Source organism: Homo sapiens, chromosome 1 (genome assembly GCF_000001405.40).
Source record: "Homo sapiens chromosome 1, GRCh38.p14 Primary Assembly".
In the NCBI taxonomy this organism is placed as follows: Eukaryota; Metazoa; Chordata; class Mammalia; order Primates; family Hominidae; genus Homo; species Homo sapiens.
In genome coordinates, this window is record NC_000001.11 from 192,854,971 (window position 1) to 192,876,433 (window position 21,463).

At 39.8% G+C, this 21,463-nt stretch overlaps 1 long non-coding RNA gene and 1 pseudogene across 1 annotated transcript in view; one reads left to right on the forward strand and one right to left on the reverse strand.

Annotated features, from left to right (window-relative positions):
* LOC105371668 (uncharacterized) overlaps window positions 1-9,096 on the forward strand; it is a 32,219-nt gene extending 23,123 nt beyond the window's left edge. The window contains exon 3 of the long non-coding RNA XR_922387.3: window positions 9,012-9,096. This is a non-coding gene — a long non-coding RNA (uncharacterized LOC105371668). The remainder of the gene's footprint in view (window positions 1-9,011) is intronic.
* On the reverse strand, window positions 20,716-21,015 carry RN7SKP126 (RN7SK pseudogene 126; annotated as a pseudogene).

Below are 21,463 nucleotides of genomic sequence, written 5' to 3' on the forward strand. Positions count from 1 at the left end.
GTTTAGGGTAAGGAGGCTCTGAACTAATGATTAATGGGGATCTCCAGTAGAAAGTGTCATAATATAACATGTTGTTATAATTCTGGTGTGATTTAGTAGTTAATCTATTGAATCAAATTGTCTTTTTGGAAGTGTAAATGAATACAATTACAATTAAATCTATAATTTTTTTTTTTTTTTAGATGGAGTCTCACTCTGTCACCCAGGCTGCAGTGCAGTGGTGCCATCTGGGCTCACTGCAACCTCCGCCTCCCGGGTTCAAGCGATTCTCCCACCTCAACCTCCCCAGTAGCTGGGATTACAGGCGTGCGCCACCACGCCCGGCTAATTTTTGTATTTTAGTAGAGACGGGGTTTCACCATGTTGGCCAGGATGGTTTCTAACTCCCAAGCTCAAGTGATCCACCTGCCTCAGCCTCCCAAAGTGCTGGGATTACAGGCATGAGCAACCGCAACCAGCCTAAATCTATAATTTAATGCATACATAATGTCAAACTATTTTTCAAGATCATGGAAAATGTTGAAGATTTTTTTTTTTTTTTTTTTTTTTTTGAGACAGAGTGTTGCTCTGTGGCCCAGGCTGGAGTGCTATGGCACTATCTTGGCTCACTGCACCCTCTGCCTCCCAGGTTCAAGCAGTTCTCCTGTCTCAGCCTCTCCAGTAGCTAGGACTACAGGTGCATACCACCACACCTGGCTAATTTTTGTATTTTTAGTAGAGACGGGATTTCACCACATTGGTCTGGCTGGTCTCGAACTCCTGACCCCACGTGATCCACCCGCCTTGGCCTCCCAAAGTGCTGGGATTACAGGCGTGAGCCACCACTCCTGGCCAATAATTTTAAACTTTAAACTTAAATAATCTTTTATTGTTAAAGAAATAAGAAAGATTATAAACCTATGGAGCTATTAACTAGGATGTTAAAATTGACTTCTATATGTCTTGACCCTAAGATAATATTATTAATGTGGAATTTGTAGCTTGCATGAAATATTACTAACTCATAGCTTTCCTCCATACACATTTTACAGTTATGGTTGCTCTAAGTAGTCAAAGTTGTCATTCATAGGGTGGAATAGCATAGCAAAAAAGAGAAAACAGAAAAACTCAAATTAGAGTAACAAAATTTTTTAAAATTATGAAATGACACACCTAAACCTTCACTAATATCCTAAAGTGAATAGACTAAATTGACTTTAAAGAGAAACAATAATTACTCTTCAAAGGAATCAGTTGTGAAAAAGAGTAAAATGTGGAGGAGAAGCCCCAAAAACACTGTGAAAAGGCACTGCTATAAGAGTTTGGAGCTCAGAGTTGCTATCCCCAGTTCTACACATTGAAATCACCTGGGAACTCTCCCTCTCCCTCTCCCTCTCCCTCCCCCTCCCCCTCCCCCTCCCCCTCTCCCCACGGTCTCCCTCTCCCTCTCCCCACGGTCTCCCTCTGATGCCGAGCTGAAGCTGGACGGTACTGCTGCCTGATTCTCCTGCCTCAGCCTGCCGACTGCCTGCGATTGCAGGCGCGCCGCCACGCCTGACTGGTTTTCGTATTTTTTTGGTGGAGACGGGGTTTCGCTGTGTTGGCTGGGCTGGTCTCCAGCTCCTAACCGCGAGTGATCCGCCAGCCTCGGCATCCTGAGGTGCCGGGATTGCAGACGGAGTCTCATTCACTCCGTGCTCAATGGTGCCCAGGCTGGAGTGCAGTGGCGTGATCTCGGCTCGCTACAACCTTCACCTCCCAGCAGCCTGCCTTGGCCTCCCAAAGTGCCGAGATTGCAGCCTCTGCCCGGCCGCCACCCCATCTGGGAAGTGAGGAGCGTCTCTGCCCGGCCGCCCATCATCTGGGATGTGAGGAACCCCTCTGCCTGGCTGCCCAGTCTGGAAAGTGAGGAGCGTCTCTGCCCGGCCGCCATCCCATCTAGGAAGTGAGGAGCGCCTCTTCCCAGCCGCCATCCCATCTGGGAAGTGAGGAGCGTCTCTGCCCGGCCGCCCATCGTCTGAGATGTGGGGAGCACCTCTGCCCTGCCGCCCCGTCCGGGATGTGAGGAGCGTCTCTGCCCAGCCACCCCGTCTGAGAAGTGAGGAGACCCTCTGCCTGGCAACCGCCCCGTCTGAGAAGTGAGGAGCCCCTCCGCCCGGCAACCGCCCCGTCTGAGAAGTGAGGAGCCCCTCCGCCCAGCAGCCACCCCGTCTGGGAAGTGAGGAGCGTCTCTGCCCAGCAGCCACCTCGTCCGGCAGGGAGGTGGGGGGGTCAGCCCCCTGCCCGGCCAGCCACCCCGTCCGGGAGGGAGGTGGGGGGGTCAGCCCCCCGCCCGGCCAGCCACCCCGTCCGGGAGGGAGGTGGGGGGGTCAGCCCTCCGCCCGGCCAGCCACCCCGTCCGGGAGGGAGGTGGGGGGGTCAGCCCCCCGCCCGGCCAGCCTCCCAGTCCGGGAGGGAGGTGGGGGGATCAGCCCCCCGCCCGGCCAGCCGCCCCGTCCGGGAGGTGAGGGGCGCCTCTGCCCGGCCGCCCCTACTGGGAAGTGAGGAGCCCCTCTGCCCGGCCAGCCGCTCCGTCCAGGAGGGAGGTGGGGGGGTCAGCCCCCCGCCCGGCCAGCCGCCCCGTCCGGGAGGGAGGTGGGAGGGTCAGCCCCCCACCTGGCCAGCCGCCCCGTCCGCGAGGTGAGGGGCGCCTCTGCCCGGCCGCCCCTACTGGGAAGTGAGGAGCCCCTCTGCCCGGCCAGCCGCCCCATTCGGGAGGGAGGTGGGGGATCAGCCCCCCGCCCGGCCAGCCGCTCCGTCCGGGAGGGAGGTGGGGGGGTCAGCCCCCCGTCCGGCCAGCCGCCCGGTCCGGGAGGTGAGGGGAGCCTCTGCCCGGCCGCCCCTACTGGGAAGTGGGGAGCCCCTCTGCCCGGCCACCACCCCGTCTGGGAGGTGTACCCAACAGCTCATTGAGAACGGGCCATGATGACAATGGCGGTTTTGTGGAATGGAAAGGGGGGAAAGGTGGGGAAAGGATTGAGAGATTGGATGGTTGCCGTGTCTGTGTAGAGAGAGGTAGACGTGGGAGACTTTTCATTTTGTTCTGTACTAAGAAAAATTCTTCTGCCTTGGGATCCTGTTGATCTGTGACCTTACCCCCAACCCTGTGCTATCTGAAACATGCCCTGTATCCACTCAGGGTTGAATGGATTAAGGGCGGTGCAAGATGTGCTTTGTTAAACAGATGCTTGAAGGCAGCATGCTCCTTAAGAGTCATCACCACTCCCTAATCTCAAGTACCCAGGGACACAAACACTGCGGAAGGCCGCAGGGTCCTCTGCCTAGGAAAACCAGAGACCTTTGTTCACTTGTTTATCTGCTGACCTTCCCTCCACTATTGTCCTGTGACCCTGCCAAATCCCCCTCTGCGAGAAACACCCAAGAATGATCAATTAAAAAAAAAAAAAAAAGAAATCACCTGGGAACTTAAAAAAAAAAAAAAATTCCATGGCCTAGATTCCACCTCTGGGGAATCTAATCCAATCAATCTGGGGTGTGGTTGGGCCTCAGGCCTTTAAAAATCTCTTTGAAAGTCAAAGTCACTTAAACTCTTACTTTTAAAAGATTAAGAATATGAGGAAATTTCAGGTTGAACAACTGGTCACCAGGTTTGGTTTATTTATAAAATGAAGTTGTTGGACAAGATTAGTAAAGGAACTGAAAGAAAAATGTCTAAGCACTGAGCATTTTCTGGTTTTAACTTGTGGTTTTTCTCTTGAACTATTTTCCGTTATCATATTAGGGCATAGAAAAATGTATCATTAGTTATGATTTTCTAACATGGTAATTATTTTTCTGAATATTTTGTCAGTAAAGACAGTGAGGCAGAATCCAATCATTTATCAATGATCCAAGTGATCTTTAAACATTCATAAGCCACTCAAACATGTTCAATATTGCCTTGTATATATACTAAGTGATAAAATAACAAAGGTATCTGTAAACATTGAACTATGTCATTTCGTATCATAATTCCCTAGAGCCTGATACTAAATGTATTTTAAGCCTTTAAGCAATGTGACCCAAGACTGACAAGCAGTATGTACTTAATACATTTTTAATAAATGAATAAATAAAATAACAAATACTCTTAAAATTCAAAATTTTAAATGAATTTAGGACAAAAGTATAGTAGTACATTAAAAATGTTCCAAGTTGGCCGGGTGCAGTGGCTCACGCCTGTAATCCCAGCACTTTGGGATGCTGAAGCAGGCGGATCACTTGAGCTCAGAAGTTTGATACCAGCCTGGGCAATGTGGCAAAACCCTGTCTCTGCCAAAAATACAAAAAGAAAAAAAAAAGAAAAAAAATCAGCTGGGTGTGGTGGAATGTGCCTGTGGTCTCAGTTACTTGGGAGGCTGAGATGGGAGGATGGCTTGAGCCTGAGAGGTGGAAGTTGCAGTGAGCCAAGATTGTGCCACTGCACTCCAGCCTAGGTAACACAGTAAGACCCTATCTCGAAAAAAAAAAAAAAAAAGTTCCAAGTGGGTAGTATAATATCAAATAAATAATCCTGAAAATGATATACAGTTTATCTATTTAAAATATATAGAATAAAGATACAGTTAGAGTAAGATTATCCCTTTACCTGATTTTTATCAATTGTTGGTTATATAATTTACATTTTATTTTATTACATTCTTTCGGTACTTAAAAATAAAACATCCATCTGGTATTCTAACAGACTTTAAAACAAAGTACTATCTATTGCGTTATTGTTGAGGTGGAAAAATTAGGAATCAAAAACTGATTAATAGGTAATTTAAATCAGTGTATCAAGAAGTTGGGCTGCCTGCTAGAAATAAGAAACTGACATCTGTTTTTCAAGATATAAAGCAGAGAAGTAGCATTGTACATGTAATAGAATATGATTGATTAAGCACTGTTTTCTTCTTTAGAAAGTGAGTCTACAATCAACAAGGTAAAACAATTCATCAACACCTGCCAAAAGTAACAACTATGCCAACAACATGCTAACTGGAATTCCTTATCTTTACTTTTACTCATTAATTACATATATTTGGAGCTCTACTAGATAAGAAGCTGTACTTCAGCAAGCAGAACTATGATCCATTTACAGGGAGTGGTGTTGTGAGGAGAGCTGGACATTTAGGATCAAATATGAGAAATTAAACAGAAATGATGTGAAAGAAATCTCACCATATAGACTAGCTAAACTTTTTCAAATATAGAACTTAGCTTAGTATTAAATACATTGAAAAACTAGTAATGATCCTAGCTAGGGGCTTTGAAACTTTTCATCCAATCATTTCCCCAAGATTTCCCTTAGTCTTCCCAAGTCTCCAGTTTGCCACATAATACAAGTTTGGTGTTTGAATTCTCAGTGCCATAACTAAGCCGCTTCATGGAGAGGGTTCAAAAGTCAAATCTCCCCTTTCATAAAGCTCACAATGCTAGCCTGCTACTACTAAACTCTTTAAAAAAAAGAAAAACAAAAACAAAAACAAAAAACAAACTTTCCTGTAATAAATAATATTTATTATTATAAATATTTTTTAAAATAGGCAAAGGACCCAGGTTTTCCCCTTTCTCTGAACTCCCTGCATCCATCACTTCTCCTTGCCCTTGTAGCCTACAGGGTAAGAGAGATGATGGCTTCACCAGTTGCTCTTTAAAAAAACCTGATGCCTGTTACCTAAGAGGCCCTATGAGGTAGGAGACAGAATGGCTGGCTTTGGAACATGGAGATTAGGCTTGACTCTGACCTCTGCCTCTTGCTATCTTGCAGCTCATCCTCTTCATGTTTCTCTTCCTCCCAGGCAAAAAAAAAGTAGTATCATCCTTTCTACCAGGGTGCCATAGAGATTAAATAAGATAATATAAGCAGAGCACTTTAAATAAGATGCTCAATAAGTGGTAGTGATGATGAGTTATTTTAACTATTTAAACCTATGTTAATCTGTGTAAATACATTGCGGGAGAAAGGAAAGTGAAAGATGACACCATCCAAAACCCCAAAGGTAGGCCTGCTCAAAGAGCTCTGATTGCAGTTCATCTCCACCCAGTTAGGGTGGAGGCTATGTCTGTTTCCTCCCTACAATCTGAAACATGTCCAGCATATAACTGTTGAATTCATTAATTTGAAAACCAATGACCTAATGAAAAAGTAAAAAGTATCTTACAGAGAAACTATAAAAATTAAAGTCCCGGCCGGGCGCAGTGGCCCACGCCTGTAATCCCAGCACTTTGGAAGGCCAAGGTGGGCGGATCAGCTGAAGTCAGGAGTCTGGGATCAGCTGAAGTCAGGGGTCCAAGACCAGCTTGGCCAACATGGTGAAAACCCGTCTCTACTAAAAATACAAAAATTAGCCAGGCATGGTGGCAGACGCCTGTAATCTCAGCTAGTCAGGAGGCTGAGGCAGGAGAATCTCTTGAACCCGGGAGGCGGAGGTTGCAGTGAGCCGAGATGGCGCCATTACACTCCAGCCTGGGGAACAAGAGTGAGACTTCGTCTCAAAAAAAAAAAAAAAATTAAAGTCCCAGTCAGAAGTCTTATTGATATTTAAGCAAGTTATTTAGCTTCATTTGTCTTAGTTTATCTGCTAGCTGGAATTAATAATGTTTGCATCTGCTTATCTGAGAGAACAGTCAGGAGAAGAAATGCAAGCATACCTGCCATAATACAAATGGAAACTGACAAATTATAACGTATCTTACTTTCTTTCGATAGGGATATTATAAAGTAAAGTAGGTATAGTAATACTCACCTTTTATAGAGTTGCTTTGAGAATTAGAAATAATGCATGTAAAACCTTTGCACAATGACTGACATAAAATAGGAGACCAAGAAATTATAGGTATTATTTTTATCATTATTATTACTGAGAGACTTTGGAGTAATTTCTGTCTTCTGTAAAAGCGATATGACAGAACAGCTGTGCAAATAATGTACAAGTTCCTTGAAACTGATAGAAAACGTTCACGTCTCAAGCTTCAGGAGTCCACTGTGTTCTTGTTTGCTAAGTGAGAACACCGTGTACAATGGAAGTGAGTCAGTTCTGTCCAACCTTCCTTAGGATGTTATAAAATTTGGCATAATTTTAATTAGTAGTAGTCATTGCTCTTTAAGCTCACAACAATGTATTTCATCAGAACTGCATGACAAAATAAATAGGATGTTTATTTTTATCACCACACCTGTAGTCATCAATGATATAGCAGTCAGCCTAAGAAACTAAGAAACTCCCAAAGCAAACAATATAAATATGTCTTTATAGGCTTATCATTTGGCCAGTCTAAACATGTTACAAGTTTAAATGATCTTTTTAAAAGTTCCCTAGCTTTGCTATAGACATAAAGCATATTACACCTGTCTAACATGTTTTTATCATCATTAGTCTATTTTATCTTCATACTGACCATATGAGAGATTTAAGTAGATATTATGATCTCTATTCTACAAGCTGAAAAACTGAGATGCTATAACGTTAAGCAACTTCTGCAGGATCAGTGATTAAGACAGAACTATAATCCAGGTTTCTGGGTGTGGCTTCCTTCTACTGCATTTGGCTATTTTCAGGTATCTCCAATGCTCCAGGAAAATAAAATGCCTCTAAACAATCCACCATTTTTCAAAAGTGACTACAAATAATACATCCAGACAGATATAATACAAATTATTCTAGAGAATTGATCTAATCTTGCTATTAACAATATATAAAATGAGGCTGGGCATGGTGGCTCACGCCTGTAATCCCAGAACTTTGGGAGTCCGAGGCGAGTGTATCACCTGAGCTCATGAGTTCAAGACCAGCCTGGGCAACATGACAAATCCCTGTCTTTACAAAAAGTACAAAAAATTAGCCAGGTGTAATGGTGTGTGCCTGTAGTCCCAGCTGCTTAGGAGGCTGAAGCAGGAGAATCACTTGAGGCCAGAAGGCAGAGGTTGCAGTGAGCCAAGATCATGCCATTGCACTCCAGCCTGGGTGATAGAGTGAGACCCTGTCTCAAAAAAAAAAAAAAAAAAAAAAAAATATATATATATATATATATAGAGAGAGAGAGAGAGAGAGAGAGAGAGAGAGAGAGAGAAAATATATATAATATACATATTATATATATATATAAAATAACTTGACATCTCAGAAGAGAAACTTCATAAATGCTAAAGATAAGAACTAACCCATGGGAAAACTGACCCCATGTAAGTGTGAAGGCAACAGGAAGAGCTTCAGGCCAGAAATCTGGAAATCTGGATTCCAGGCTAATTCTGGCTCTAATTGTGTGTATGACTTTGGATAAATTCCTTATCTCTGTAGTGTTCCAGTTTTATCATCTATAAAAGAGTTGGTCTAAATGTAGAATTTAATTGGCAGAATGTTGAAATTCTCAAATCTGCAAATCAATAGTTGACTCCATGGTGGTATTCACTCCTTTAGTAATGATTTACTACCATAAACACTGATATGCATAAATATTAGCTAAAGCTAATAAAGTTTACAGTAGTGTTCTATATAGAAAAATATGTAAACTATTCTTGTGAATAAGCTGCAATAAAACATAGGGTTGCACCAGCAAGCATTTTAGAGCCTTCTGAAGGTTAGAATTAAAGAAATCTATTTATTGGGCTAACCAAAGTGTCCTTGTCACTGCAATTTTCTAATTTTAAGAATAAATAGGTTTTTTGTTTGTTTGTTTGTTTGTTTGTTTTTGAGACGGAGTCTCACTCTGTAGCCCAGGCTGGGAGTGCAGTGGTGCGATCTCGGCTCACTGCATGCTCTGCCTCCCAGGTTCACGCCATTCTCCTGCCTCAGCCTCCCGAGTAGCTGGAACTACAGGTGCCCGCCACCACGCCCTGCTAATTTTTTGTATTTTTAGTAGAGACGGGGTTTCACCGTGTTAGCCAGGATGGTCTCGATCTCGTGACCTCGTGATCCGCCCCCTCGGCCTCCCAAAGTGCTGGGATTACAGGCGTGGGCCACCGCGTCCGGCCGATTTTCATTTTCATGTTCAGTTCATCCTTTCGTTTCCAGACACTGAGGAGACGAAGACAAGCCAAGATCATCCTATGCCTGGAAGAGATCTCAGTTGTATGGAAATAATCAGCCAATATGACCACCCACTTCTGGAAGAGCATCTCTAAGACAGAGGGGGTACTGTGTCTCTTCACTTTCCATACATAGTTCTCAATGTGTATTTTTTTAATTGATTACTTTTTCCCCTTGAAGGATTTCCTAAAATCTATTTAATTTTACCTGACCTATGTCCCAGAAATTGTCTTTTTTCCTACTGTAATTGCCATTTAAAGTAATAAAAAATACTTGGGGAAAAAAGTTCATCTTTCTATAGCTTTATAAATATGGAGCAAATATATCTGTTCATTTGATGAATGTCCATTTAAACCAGCATTGAGAGAAATGAATTATCATATTCCACAAAAGATCATTGAAAAAAGACCATTAAATGAATAATAGTGGATCCTTAATGTTGCCCTAGAGGAAGAAGAATAATTTCAGATGGCAGGAAAATAACTTTTATCTTTTGTTAAACATTCAAACAATTATTTTACCAACACATACCATTGCAGATAACCTCAAAAAGAGTAAAACAAATTTTCAGAATGCTATACTCCTATACTAAGGAGTGTTCCAGAGGCAACTGTGGTGTCTTTTAATTCAAAATTGTTCAGAGTATAGGTTAGCCTCTCATATGGTGAGTATATAACCTAGGTTTTCTATGACCAGCCTAATATAAACACTTCTGTCCCATTCTATAAATAAGTGAACTTCGGCTTGTCAGACCATGATTTGGATATAATGTCATGATACCCACTGACCATATGGAAAATGCCTTCCCTTAGAAATACTCTAACCTCCTAGTACAGTAGCATAAAGAACTTATACCAAAATATTATACTAATAATTCTTAATGATATTTCAACTTTTTTAGGACTATGAAAATCAGAAATGGTATTTTTAATTTGCGCAGTTGTCTTCCTTTTGATGTTGGTTTGCTAGTCTCAAATGGCTTACAAATACGAAGTGAAGGTATCTCTATGCTATAGAATTTTACCAGGTGACTTTATACACTCCCCTGGTCTAAGCTACATCTCTGTGCAGATGACTCTTTAATCTATACTTTGTAGTCTACTTTTTCTTTGACCTGTCTTATGAACTCCAGACTTTTGTTTTCTCTTGCCTAACTCCAGACCTATATTTTCAGTTGACTTATCCAACTGACATCCTAAATTCAACAAAATCATATTCTAATCATCAGACATAGATCCTTCTGAGTTATTTCCTTCCATACACTGAGTAGTCCATTGGTCACCAAATTAAGAAAAATGTTCATAACCTTCACAGCCCTTCAAACCAAATTGTTATGCAGTCACCACAGGAAAGTGGTTCAACACATGGATTTTGATGTCAGACAGAGCTGGGCTTTAATCACCATTTTGCCACTGCTGGTGTGAGAGTAGACTCGTTATTCAGTCTCTCTAAATCTAAGTTTTGGACAGATAATGGGGATAAGAAAACTATCATTTAGGGCTGTGTGAGAATTTATTTATTATTATCATTATTATTATTATTATTATTATTTTGAGATGGAGTCTCGCTCTGTCACCTAGGCTGGAGTGCAGTGGCACAATCTCAGCTCACTGCAGCCTCTGCTTCCCAAGTTCAAGAGATTCTCCAGCTTCAGTCTCCCAATTAGCTGGGATTACAGGCATGCGCCATCATGCCTGGCTACTTTTTGTATTTTTAGTGGAGACAGTTTCACCATGTTGGCCAGGCTGGTCTCGAACTCCTGACCTCAAGTGCCTCGGCCTCCCAAAGTGCTGAGATTACAGGCATGAACCACTGCACCCGGCCCTGTTTGAGAATTTTTTTTTTTTTTTTTTTTTGAGATGAAGTCTCGCTCTTGTCCCCCAGACTGGAGTGCGATGGCACAATCTCAGCTCACTGCAACGTCTGCCTCCCGGGTGCAAGTGATTCTCCTGCCTCGGCCCCTGAGTAGCTGGGATTATAGGCGCCTGCCACCACCCCCAGCTAATTTTTGTATTGTTAGTAGAGACGGGGTTTTACCATGTTGGCCAGGCTGGTCTAGAACTCCTGACCTCAGGTGATCCACCCACCTCGGCCTCCCAAAGTGCTGGGATTACAGGCCTGAGCCACCGCACCCAGCCCTATATGAGAATTTAAAAAGGTAATCCATGCTGAGAAATTAGCATAGTACCCAGGGTGCTCAGAGTAAGATCATCATCATCTCTCTCTTGTAGACAACTATAGTAAATAACTTTGATAGTCTCACTGCTTTCTCTTTTCTTCTCTTAGTCCCTCCTACAATCCACACTATTCCACAGTGAAGATCTAACTACAGTACTCTCTTAATTAAAAGCTTCCTGGTTGCCAAGGGAAAATTATAACTGTGTACTGGGGGAATGAGGCTGCTCTCACTGCAATCCAATGATCAGCCCTGGCACCACTAATCATGGTGAAATCTTACATGTCTTATCTCTTGAAGTGAAAAACAGGAAGTACCCAATATTGCATGTGTTATATTAAAGAAAAAAATGTTTTACTAGAATCTACTCAGGCTTATAGGTCTAATTCACACTTGATATGAAATACAAAGAATGAAGTAAGAAGCTAAACAATACAAACAAACCAGAGAACCCAGAAGGTAAAACACGGGTATCTGCACTGGTCTATTTATAAAGTTAGTGACTGCCAAAAAATAAGCGGGAGGGAAGGAGCTAATCTAAGTTAAAACGGGTTCAAGGACCATAACAACAAATATAATAGTGGTCCTGGATTCGATCCTGATTTTGACAAAGCAACTATAAAGACATTTTGGGGACCGCTGAGATATTTTTAACATAGACTGAACAATAGACAATGTTAAAGAGTTGTCTATATTTAACAATTTGATAGTGTTATTTGTTTATATAGAAAAATGGTTTTTTTTAGAGATACAAACTAAATCATGGTAGGTAAAATTATGATATTGGCAACTTTAAAGTACTACAGAATTAAAAACAAAAAGTAAATTTTAAAAGCCTACAATTTGAGTACATTATCATCGTCCATAAAACAATGCCACTAAAATGGAAATATAATGTGAGCCATATATGCGATTTAAATGTTCTAGCAACCACATTTTAAAAAAATAAAAAATCTGAAATTAATTTAATAATGTATTTTCTTTAGCATATCTAAAATATGGGCATTTTAACATATAATCAATATAAAACATTATTAGTGAGATGGTCGACATTCTTTTCTTTCTACTAAATCTTTAAAATTCAATGTGTATTTTATACATACAGCACTTCTCAATTTAAAGTAGCCATATGTAGTTAGTGTCTTTGGCACTGGGCTGTAACCTGACCTCAGAGCATGTTTCCAACCCTATCTCTGGCTCTACACACTGCTTCAGCCATTCCCTGACTTGACCAGTTTATCCACACCCACGTGCTTTGACATAAACCACATCCCTCAGATAGATTTAGCCCTCTGCTTTTCTCAATCTGAAGAACTTCAACTCACCTGGCACTAAAGATGCTCCTTTTATTGCATCTCATCACGGCACCTGCCATTTTTCAAGTATTTGTTGCCTTCCGACTCTGGCTAAATAGTGAGTTCTGTAATAGAGAGACTGTCATAATCATCTCTGTACTCCTAGCCATTTTTGAGGAATAAACTAGTGAATGAATCAATAAACAAATGAAGCATGCTACTAAAACACAGATGTAAAAACGTAACATTTTAGGTTTTCCCTTTTTCTCCCTATCTGAGGTTCTTTGTTCCTTCCAGTTCTTCATAGTTTTATTCCTATCTTATATAACCAGAGAAACATAGAATACAAGTATGTTTTGAATTAGAAATACCAAAATTAAGACATCAAATTAAAAGCATTGGCTATAACAATGATCACTTACCGATGCTGAGGTGATTAAAGTGGCCACAAGAGTAAATAGTTTCTTGGAAAAAACGATATTTTTTCTCTTTTAATTTTGTTTTTACGTTTTAGAATACAAGAATAACTAGCAATTGGAGGTTTGAGAACCTGAGCAAGTGAATTAACTTAGGCCTTGGTATACTGAGGAGACCGTAGTGAACTAAAGAGGTTGAATTAAGGAATCATTACAATTTAGTTTAGCTTTAAATTTTTAAGGTTTCAGGATTTGTTTGTTTGTAACATATCCCCAAAGTAAACTGATTTATAACCATTTTGTGAGGATAGATACTTGTTTCAGGATGTGGTAAAATGCTAGTTTTTTTCCAAAGGAAAAGAATATAGAATTGGTTCATTTAGAAAAATAATTTACAAATTTAACTTCATGGTTTTACTAATTCTGTAAGCTTATAATGTTTTTTGACATTCTGGAGTTAACCCAGCAAAGTAGCTTTTCTTATGACTCTTCAAAGAAGATCTGGTGACTATTTGTGTTTAAATTTTAGATAACTAAACGTTGGCATTTCATTTTTTTTTTTTTGAAAGGAGTCTTGGTCTGTCGCCCAGGCTGGAGTGCACTGGTGTAATCTCAGATCACTGCAACCTCCACCTCCCGGGTTCAAGTGATTCTCGTGCCTCAGCCTCACAAGTAGCTGGGATTACAGGCGCCCACCATGACACCTGGCTGATTTTTGTATTTTTAATAGAGATGGGTTTTCATCATGTTGGCCAGGCTGGTCTCGAACTCCTGACCTCAGGTGATCCACCTGCCTCACCTCCCAAAGTGCTGGGATTACAGGCGTGAGCCACTGCTCCCCACCAAATGTTGGCATTTCTATACACATATGTAAAATATTTATGATTGCACTAAAAATTAATCATCATAATACTTTGCGGGCAGAGAGTGCAGGGACTGAGTGAAAACAATGTTGCTTTCAGGGCCAAAAGAAAGGCTTTCAATTAAGCCAGGTGGGCTTGGGCTTGGCTGTAGAACCCTCCCACACCAAACAACATTCTAGAATTATCTCTGCCTTTAAAAATATGCAACATTCTAGGTTGTCATCATCCCTTTCTCTGTCTAAGCCCACTCCCATTTTTTGGTTAAGACTTGCCACCCGCTATATCATGAAACACTTCTGTGGAGTAAGCATGGCACCATTCCTCTCCAAGATACATAGCTAAAGTCCAACATTGGGCTTCTAAGACAAGACAGCAAAGACTCCTCACATTTTTCCATTAGGCCTTTAAGAAACCAGGTATCCAGTAAACAATGAATTAACATATTCTTATGAAAGATAGGCAATTAAAGGAAACTGTAAAATAAGTATTCTGTTTGTTTTTAAAGATTTTGTTACAGCTTCTTCATTTTGATCATTCTTCTCAAAAGCAGCTGTTAGTTCCACAGCTTCTCTGCTCTGGTAAGGTGAGAAGGGTTCAGATAAAATCTTATTAACACTGGTATGACAGGCCTGCAGCACATTACAGTCTGTTCCGATAATATATGATATCTGTATTCATTAAGAATCTCTTGCGAAAAAAATCATATATATTTATTTTTTGAAAAGGCAGCTAGAGTCTGGAACAGTGTTTCTCAATGTGTGGTTTGAGGTCCACTTGCATAAGATTATTTGAGGAACTCAGTAAAAAGGCAGATTCCTAAACTCTATCCCAGACCTATTGTATCCAAATCCTTAGGATGGAGCCTGAGAATCCTGGTTTTTATCAATTTTTTAAAAAAATAAATTGCATACTCAAAGCTGACAAAAACAAATCAAAATAATTTCACATTTGTCCTTTGATTCAAATACTCATGCTGGGCCGTTGGCCCTGACCTTGACTTATTACTTGTAGTACAGTCACAACTGTCATCAGTAAACAGAAAAACAAAAGCGCTAACAAGATACCAGCTACTAAATAAAAAGATCTCATTTCCATGCTTTTATACATCAGCATTTAACTTTTTTTTCATCCTTGGGAGGTGTTGTTGCTAATAATCTTATAACAACCAGTTATGATCATTATAATGAAACATCTGAATTATTTTATTATGATGAATCCAGTTCCCGTAATGAATAAGCATGCTATAAAAGAAATGTTTGTATTTTATCCAGTTTCTATCAATAGACCACCAAATATCTGTATGTAACAACATAAATGTATTCATACATTTCTAGATATTTAGATATGTCTAATATTACACAAATGGCTGAAATGTGTGGATTCCTACAAAAAAGGTCCACTTTTATTATTTATTTGAATTTTTTCTTTGTAGTGACAGTCTTGTTTTGCTGCCCAGGCTGGTCTCAAACTCCTGGGCTCAAGGGATCCTTCTGCCTTGGCCTCCCAAAGTGCTGGGATTACAGGTGTGAGCCACTGCACCCACCTACTTTTCTTAATCGTTTTTTTAAGCCCTCTTACTATCAAAAAATATATCCAGAAAAATTTTTGTTGTATACAATCTATTATAGAACTGAGCTGTACAGATAATAAAATTAAATAGTTGTTTGCCTAAATTTGCTCTTATGAATAAAACTATTATTAAACAATTGGGAAATTATTATCTAAAAGGTTATTGTATTATTGTATTGTAATAATCTAAAATGTTATTGTAACAATTGGGAAATTATTATCTAAAAGGTTATGTTGATGTTCTTTCCAAAGAATTCTACCTTGGAACAATCTAGAGAAGGGATCTTTGTTGATATAATGTATCCTAACGCTTCTTTGAGTAGAAACTTTGTGACAGCGTAATTTTCTTTTAATTTAAGGACATTAAGCTTAAAATGATTCATGATACCCTTTGAAATAACTATATCAATCACAAATTTAAGATTTGCAATAAGTGAGTCTGAGAAGATCAAAATCGGTCTTCTTTTCTTTTATTAAATTATGTAATTTTTTTCCACAAGCAGTTATTGAGCACTTTCTCAATGATATATATGGCATGATGGAGGGGAGGTGATAGACAAAATTCCTGTGCTTAGGTGGTTCACATTCTCAGTGGAGATGAAAGACAATACAGATGATGGTAGCTATTAGAAACTAGAAAAACATACAAAAACTGTGCCCATCACTTCTCAGCCTTTCAGCTAAGATCAAGTGTAAAAACTGTGCCCAGCTTTAATCATTAATTGTAATTAATTTCATAACATCTTTTGGAAACTAAGGTGTTACACCTTCCCAATAATATTTACATTTTAATTCGCTTTGCTACATTATTATTAACTTTTTTGTTATTAGAGCATGCGTTGGCCAGATGTGGTGGCTTACTGTTGTAATTCCAGCACTTTGGGAGGCCAAGGCAGGAGGATTGCTTGAGCCCAGTTTGAGACCAGCCTGGGCAATGTAGTGAGGCCCCATCTCTACAAGAAATTTAAAAAGAAAAAGAAAAAATCTAGCCAGGTGTGGTGGTGCATATCTGTAGTCCTAGCTACTCAGAAGGCTAAGGTGGGAAGATCGCTTCAGTCTGGGAACTTGAGGCTGAAGTGAGCTTTGATTATGCCACTGCATTCCAGCCTGGGCAACAGAGTGAGACTTCATCCCAAAAGACAGAAGAAAAAAAAAAAAAAAAGAGAGAGAGTGTCTTAATTTGTATTATCTTAGAACCTTACCCTAAGACAAGATTAAAGTGCAAATAGTAATTTTGGAGATGATATGGTCTGGCTCTGTGTCCCCACCAAATCTCATGTTGAATTGTAATCCCCATTGTTGGAAGTGGGGCCTGGTGGGAGGTGATTGAATCATGGGGGTGGTTTAGCACCATCCCTCTAGTGCTGTCTCAGTACAGAGTTCTCATGAGATCTGATTATTTGAAAGTGTGTAGCATCTCCCTCTTTGCTCTCTTTCTGTCTCCTGCCAGCCATGTGAAGATGTGCCTACTTCTCCTTCACCTTCTGCCATGCTTATAAGTTGCCCGAGGTCTCCCCAGAAGCAGAAACCTATACAGCCCACAGAACCATAAGCCAATTAAACTGCTTTTCTTTATAAATTAGCCCGTCTCAGGTATGTTTTCATAGCAGTGGAGAACAAGCTAATACAGGAGGTAATACCAGAAATTGTAGAGCAGTGGAAGAGTGAGGGGTAGAGAAGTGATAGCAAATAAAGTGTGAATTATCAGACAATTCCCCACTGTGTGTAAATAGTGCATAATCCCTCTGAGGAACATGGGCACCAGTAGATGACACACCTCAAAATAAAGCAGGAGCTGGGGTATTTATTTATACACCAACTACCACCTACATGCTGCTCCTGAAGAAACATTCATTCTCTGACACTTTCAGCCTACCACACATTTCACATTGACTCAGATGACCAGACAATGCCTCAGACAAAGAAATACAGGAGCTGACAGTTGCAAGTTGGGCCGTTGTGCCCTGAAGTGAAGGATGAAAAATGAGCAGCAGCATTTCCTACAGAGAGTGAGCACAATTTTAAAACCGTTCGAAAGAGATATTTGTTTTAGTCATTCATCATCTTCCTTCAGACTACCCTTATATAACTTTTTGCATATAACCATCCTCATGTATTTTTTACAAACTTTAAGTCAAAATGTGTATACTATTTTATATTTTATGTGTCACATAATAATCTATCACCTATTTTTATATTTTCACTTTGAAGATCACACAGTATTCTTTACAGATCTACTTAGTATTCATTTCTTCTGATACTTATTGAGTGCCCAGGCTCTTATTGAGAGCTGTGCACAGGTGCTGAGAATGGGTATAGAAAGGAATTTGAAAATTTTGAAGAATCGATTGACCTATATACACATGTGTACCAAGTTCAATGCTAGAGATGTGTTCGGTTGAAAGAGATGAAAACCCAGAAGATGGTGGTTAACTGAAGGCCATCAGAGAAGGTCCCAAATAGGGGGACAGATGGACAAATATGAAGCAGTGAGGACATGCCAAGCCAGAGGAACACCCTGTGTGAAGGACGGAGGTGTGATGGTTCATTATTGTTAGTGTATTACAAACAAAGAGCATAAATCATTCATTTCACCATTCTCCTCATATTGGCTACTTTTTATTATTTTCCTCTCTTTGTTATTAGAGATAATATTTCAGTGAGCACCACTGTGCTTCTAGCTTTTTATTTCTCTTAGATTATTTTTAAAATGTGAACTTCAGAAACTGGAATTACCTGGTCAAAGGAAAGACTCTTTTGTCAGGATCTTACTTTATGTCTTAACTCTGCAGAATGAATAATGTGGGAATTTCAAGCACAGTGATCCACTGGGCTAAAGGTAGCAACTCCAGTGCAAGACAGAGCCTGCAGAGAATTTTCTTTCTTGCTTGCTCTTCTGCTTCAGTTCTTGGCCTTTTCCTTACAACTTTCTACAGTGAAGTTCAGCTGTAGGCTCACGTGCTTCCTGACTCTATTTGGGTGAAAGGTAGTAAATGGAAGAGAACAGCAGAGTTAAGATGACAAATCAACTTGAATTATAATAGGGCTGTATTTTAAATTGCTTCTTTTTCAAAGAAGAAAAAATTTTGTATCATCTGAATTGAAATAGCAACCAAAAAGCAAGTTGTTGCCTTATATAAAAGAAAACAATTTTAATAACTTTTAAGATTATTTCAATGATTTATATTTTCTATTTCTGAAGAATTTTAACAAATATTTTTATAAAACAAATTTCATGGTTTCTGTCTACTCATCACATCTTCAAATTAAAAGAAAAGTGACAAGAGAAAGAAAAAAGCCTTCTAAACACTTTTTCTATAGTTTTTACATAAATAATAGAAAACAGCATAGAGCAAATTACTTTTAAAATTATACAATAAGTCAGATAAAAATTTTTGTCAATATATAGAGATGTATATGAATTTGAAACAATATTCACCAAAATCATAGTGTAAATCTATCACTAAATTTTTTTTATGTCATTAAATTTTAACCAAGTCAAAAGCTAAAAAAAATGCGCTGCATTTATATATATACTTGTTTTGCTTCATTTTTTTTCAGAATTCAAGATGCAATGCTTGATTTGGTTTATTAGTCACATCAAAAAATAAAATTAAGTAAGTGATCCTGTTTCACACAATTCCTGGCTCTTATACTCAGTAGTTTTGCTATTTTCCTGTTTTCAACTTTTCTTGATGAGTTACATACTGGAAGTAATTATTGCTTCAGATGAAATTGCTTCAGACCATTTCCAAAATGACTTATGTAACATTCCTCACTTCTTTTGATTGAAAAAAAATCATTGTTTTCAAGGGTGTATAAGAAAAATGTAGCAGAAAATCTCTCCACATCAGTTTACCTAGTCTAGCATCCACCCAGGGTTGAAATTCAAATTGTCTTTTGGGTCATTCAGTCTCCACTCTAGCAAACTTATTTTTGAGAAGCCGTAGGAGATTTTAACTCATCTCTTCCTTGCTTGCTTCATTTAAACAAAATTTTTGAGACAGGGAATCTCCGTACCCACTCCTGGCTACTCAGAGCCACCCTGGCTGCAGCTTGTATCTTGTGCATCCCAAATCCATCAAAATGACTCAGTATGTGGTCCTCATAATTGGTGCCACCATCGGATAACTAGTCTTTGCTCAGAAATTAAAGGTTGGTAACGGCTCATTGTAATCAGGCAGCATATTAGAAAGAGCTGTGTGTCTGGAATCAGAAAATAGTTTCATAATCTTGCACCACCACTAGCCAAGTTATCCTGGCAAGTTATTTCAAGCCTTTCTGAACCTCCATTTTAACAGTGTAGCTCAACGTTATTGAGCACCTATCATGAGACACTAATCTAGGTACTTGGGATACAAAAGTAATTGAAAATGCCCTGGTCAATGCGCTTGAGTAGTTTATCAATATTGGATGAAACAGAAAAGTATTACAATATGATTTGTAAAGATATTTTTTGCAGGGAGAGAATGAAAATACAATTGTCTTCCAGAGTTCTTTGTTTCTCTCAAAAATATTAAGCTTTGGTAGCACCTCTCAGAAAAGGCAAGTTCCCCTCTTACTGGAACTTGAAAGTCTTTTGACTTTTTCTCATTAATTCTTCTTAGTCCTAGTTTAAAGATATTGTATGAAGTAGTTAGAAAAAAACATGCACATTAAGCATCCTTTAGGGATTTTGCTGCTGGTTTAGGAAAGATTTGCAAGCCCTATATTAAGTCCCTGCTGTGTTGGGTGTAGGTCAAAAGTTAAGTGGATAAGAATATCTAACCTAAGTATTGAAAGCGAATGAGGAATCATCTGACCCCCTCACTTATTTACAGGTAAGGAAATGGAGGTTGGAGAGGTCAAATGGCTCACCCAAAGCCACACAGCCAGTGAGTGGCTGAGTAGATGCAAAGCTGGATACTGACTTTTCCTCATTCTCTCATTCATTCCTTTAATGAACACTCATAGAGTATCTAATGCATACAAATTGTGCAAAACACTTCAGGGAATTTCTTCATGTATGAGACAGGCTCTCTGCTCTTCTCCTTCAATCTAATGCTGAATGTTAGCAGCTCTTTATGTCAGAGATGAAGAGATAGTTGGAAGATTGTCTATCTGAAGAGATGAGTTGAACAAAATTAAAAAGTCTGGATTAATGTGAAGTACACAAGGTGACATGAGTCCTCAGGGTAATACGATTAACGAGCCATCGCATATTGGTAGAATCTAATGAATATTCACGCTCTAATCAAAATAGTAGCTCGGTTGAGTGAGGATAAGTGACCTGAACTGTGCCTTTGATCTTAATCTTAGGGAAAAAGAAGACAGAAAAGCAGCAGCAGGGAAATAGCTTTCTAAACAAAGGATTAAGGAAAAGGCTTAGAAAATTAGCTGCTGTCAATTGACAAAAAATGGGAAGGAGGCTTATCTTGTGGGTCCTGTATTTCCTTGAGAGGTTATTTGGAGGTTCTAGCAGGGGAGTGCAGTTACTTGTATATCCTTGACCAAAGACCAGTCCTCTCTTGGAAATGGTCCTCCCCTTTGACCAAGCATGCAGCTTCAGAAGGGATGCACATGGAGCAACGAGGAAGGAAGGGGAGACTCACCTAGGTAGCCAGAGCAGCCAAATCAACCCTGACAATCAATGGCATGAAAGATTGTTGCAGCCAGATCGCCCTCACATGCAAGGTCCTCTATTTCCTTTACAGACCTTGACTGTAATGGAATTGTATTAGAATTCCAATTAAAATCAGCTCTCCTTTAGGGAAAAAAAGAGGTAGATGAGAAGAAAAAAATAATAATCTCTGTGAATACTTTATTATGGTGCATATTGAACTATTCCTGGATGTGTTTCAGTAGATTCCACTGTCAAGTACAGCCAGTGGGAGGGTCAGTAACAACTCACTTTTCAACACTAAGCAACTGGATTCCAACCAGAAATCCTAACTGAAAGATGTGTCCGTTGCTCCATGGATCTTTGACTATTAGAATCTCTTTAAGAACTTTCCCTCTGGTTGCAGGAGACAAAGAAGAGATAATCACAGCTATCCATTTCAGTACAAGACTGCTTGAGATGCTGTCATTTTCTTCAAATCCCAGAAACTGTCAATTTGTGAGTTGCTATTTTTCTACC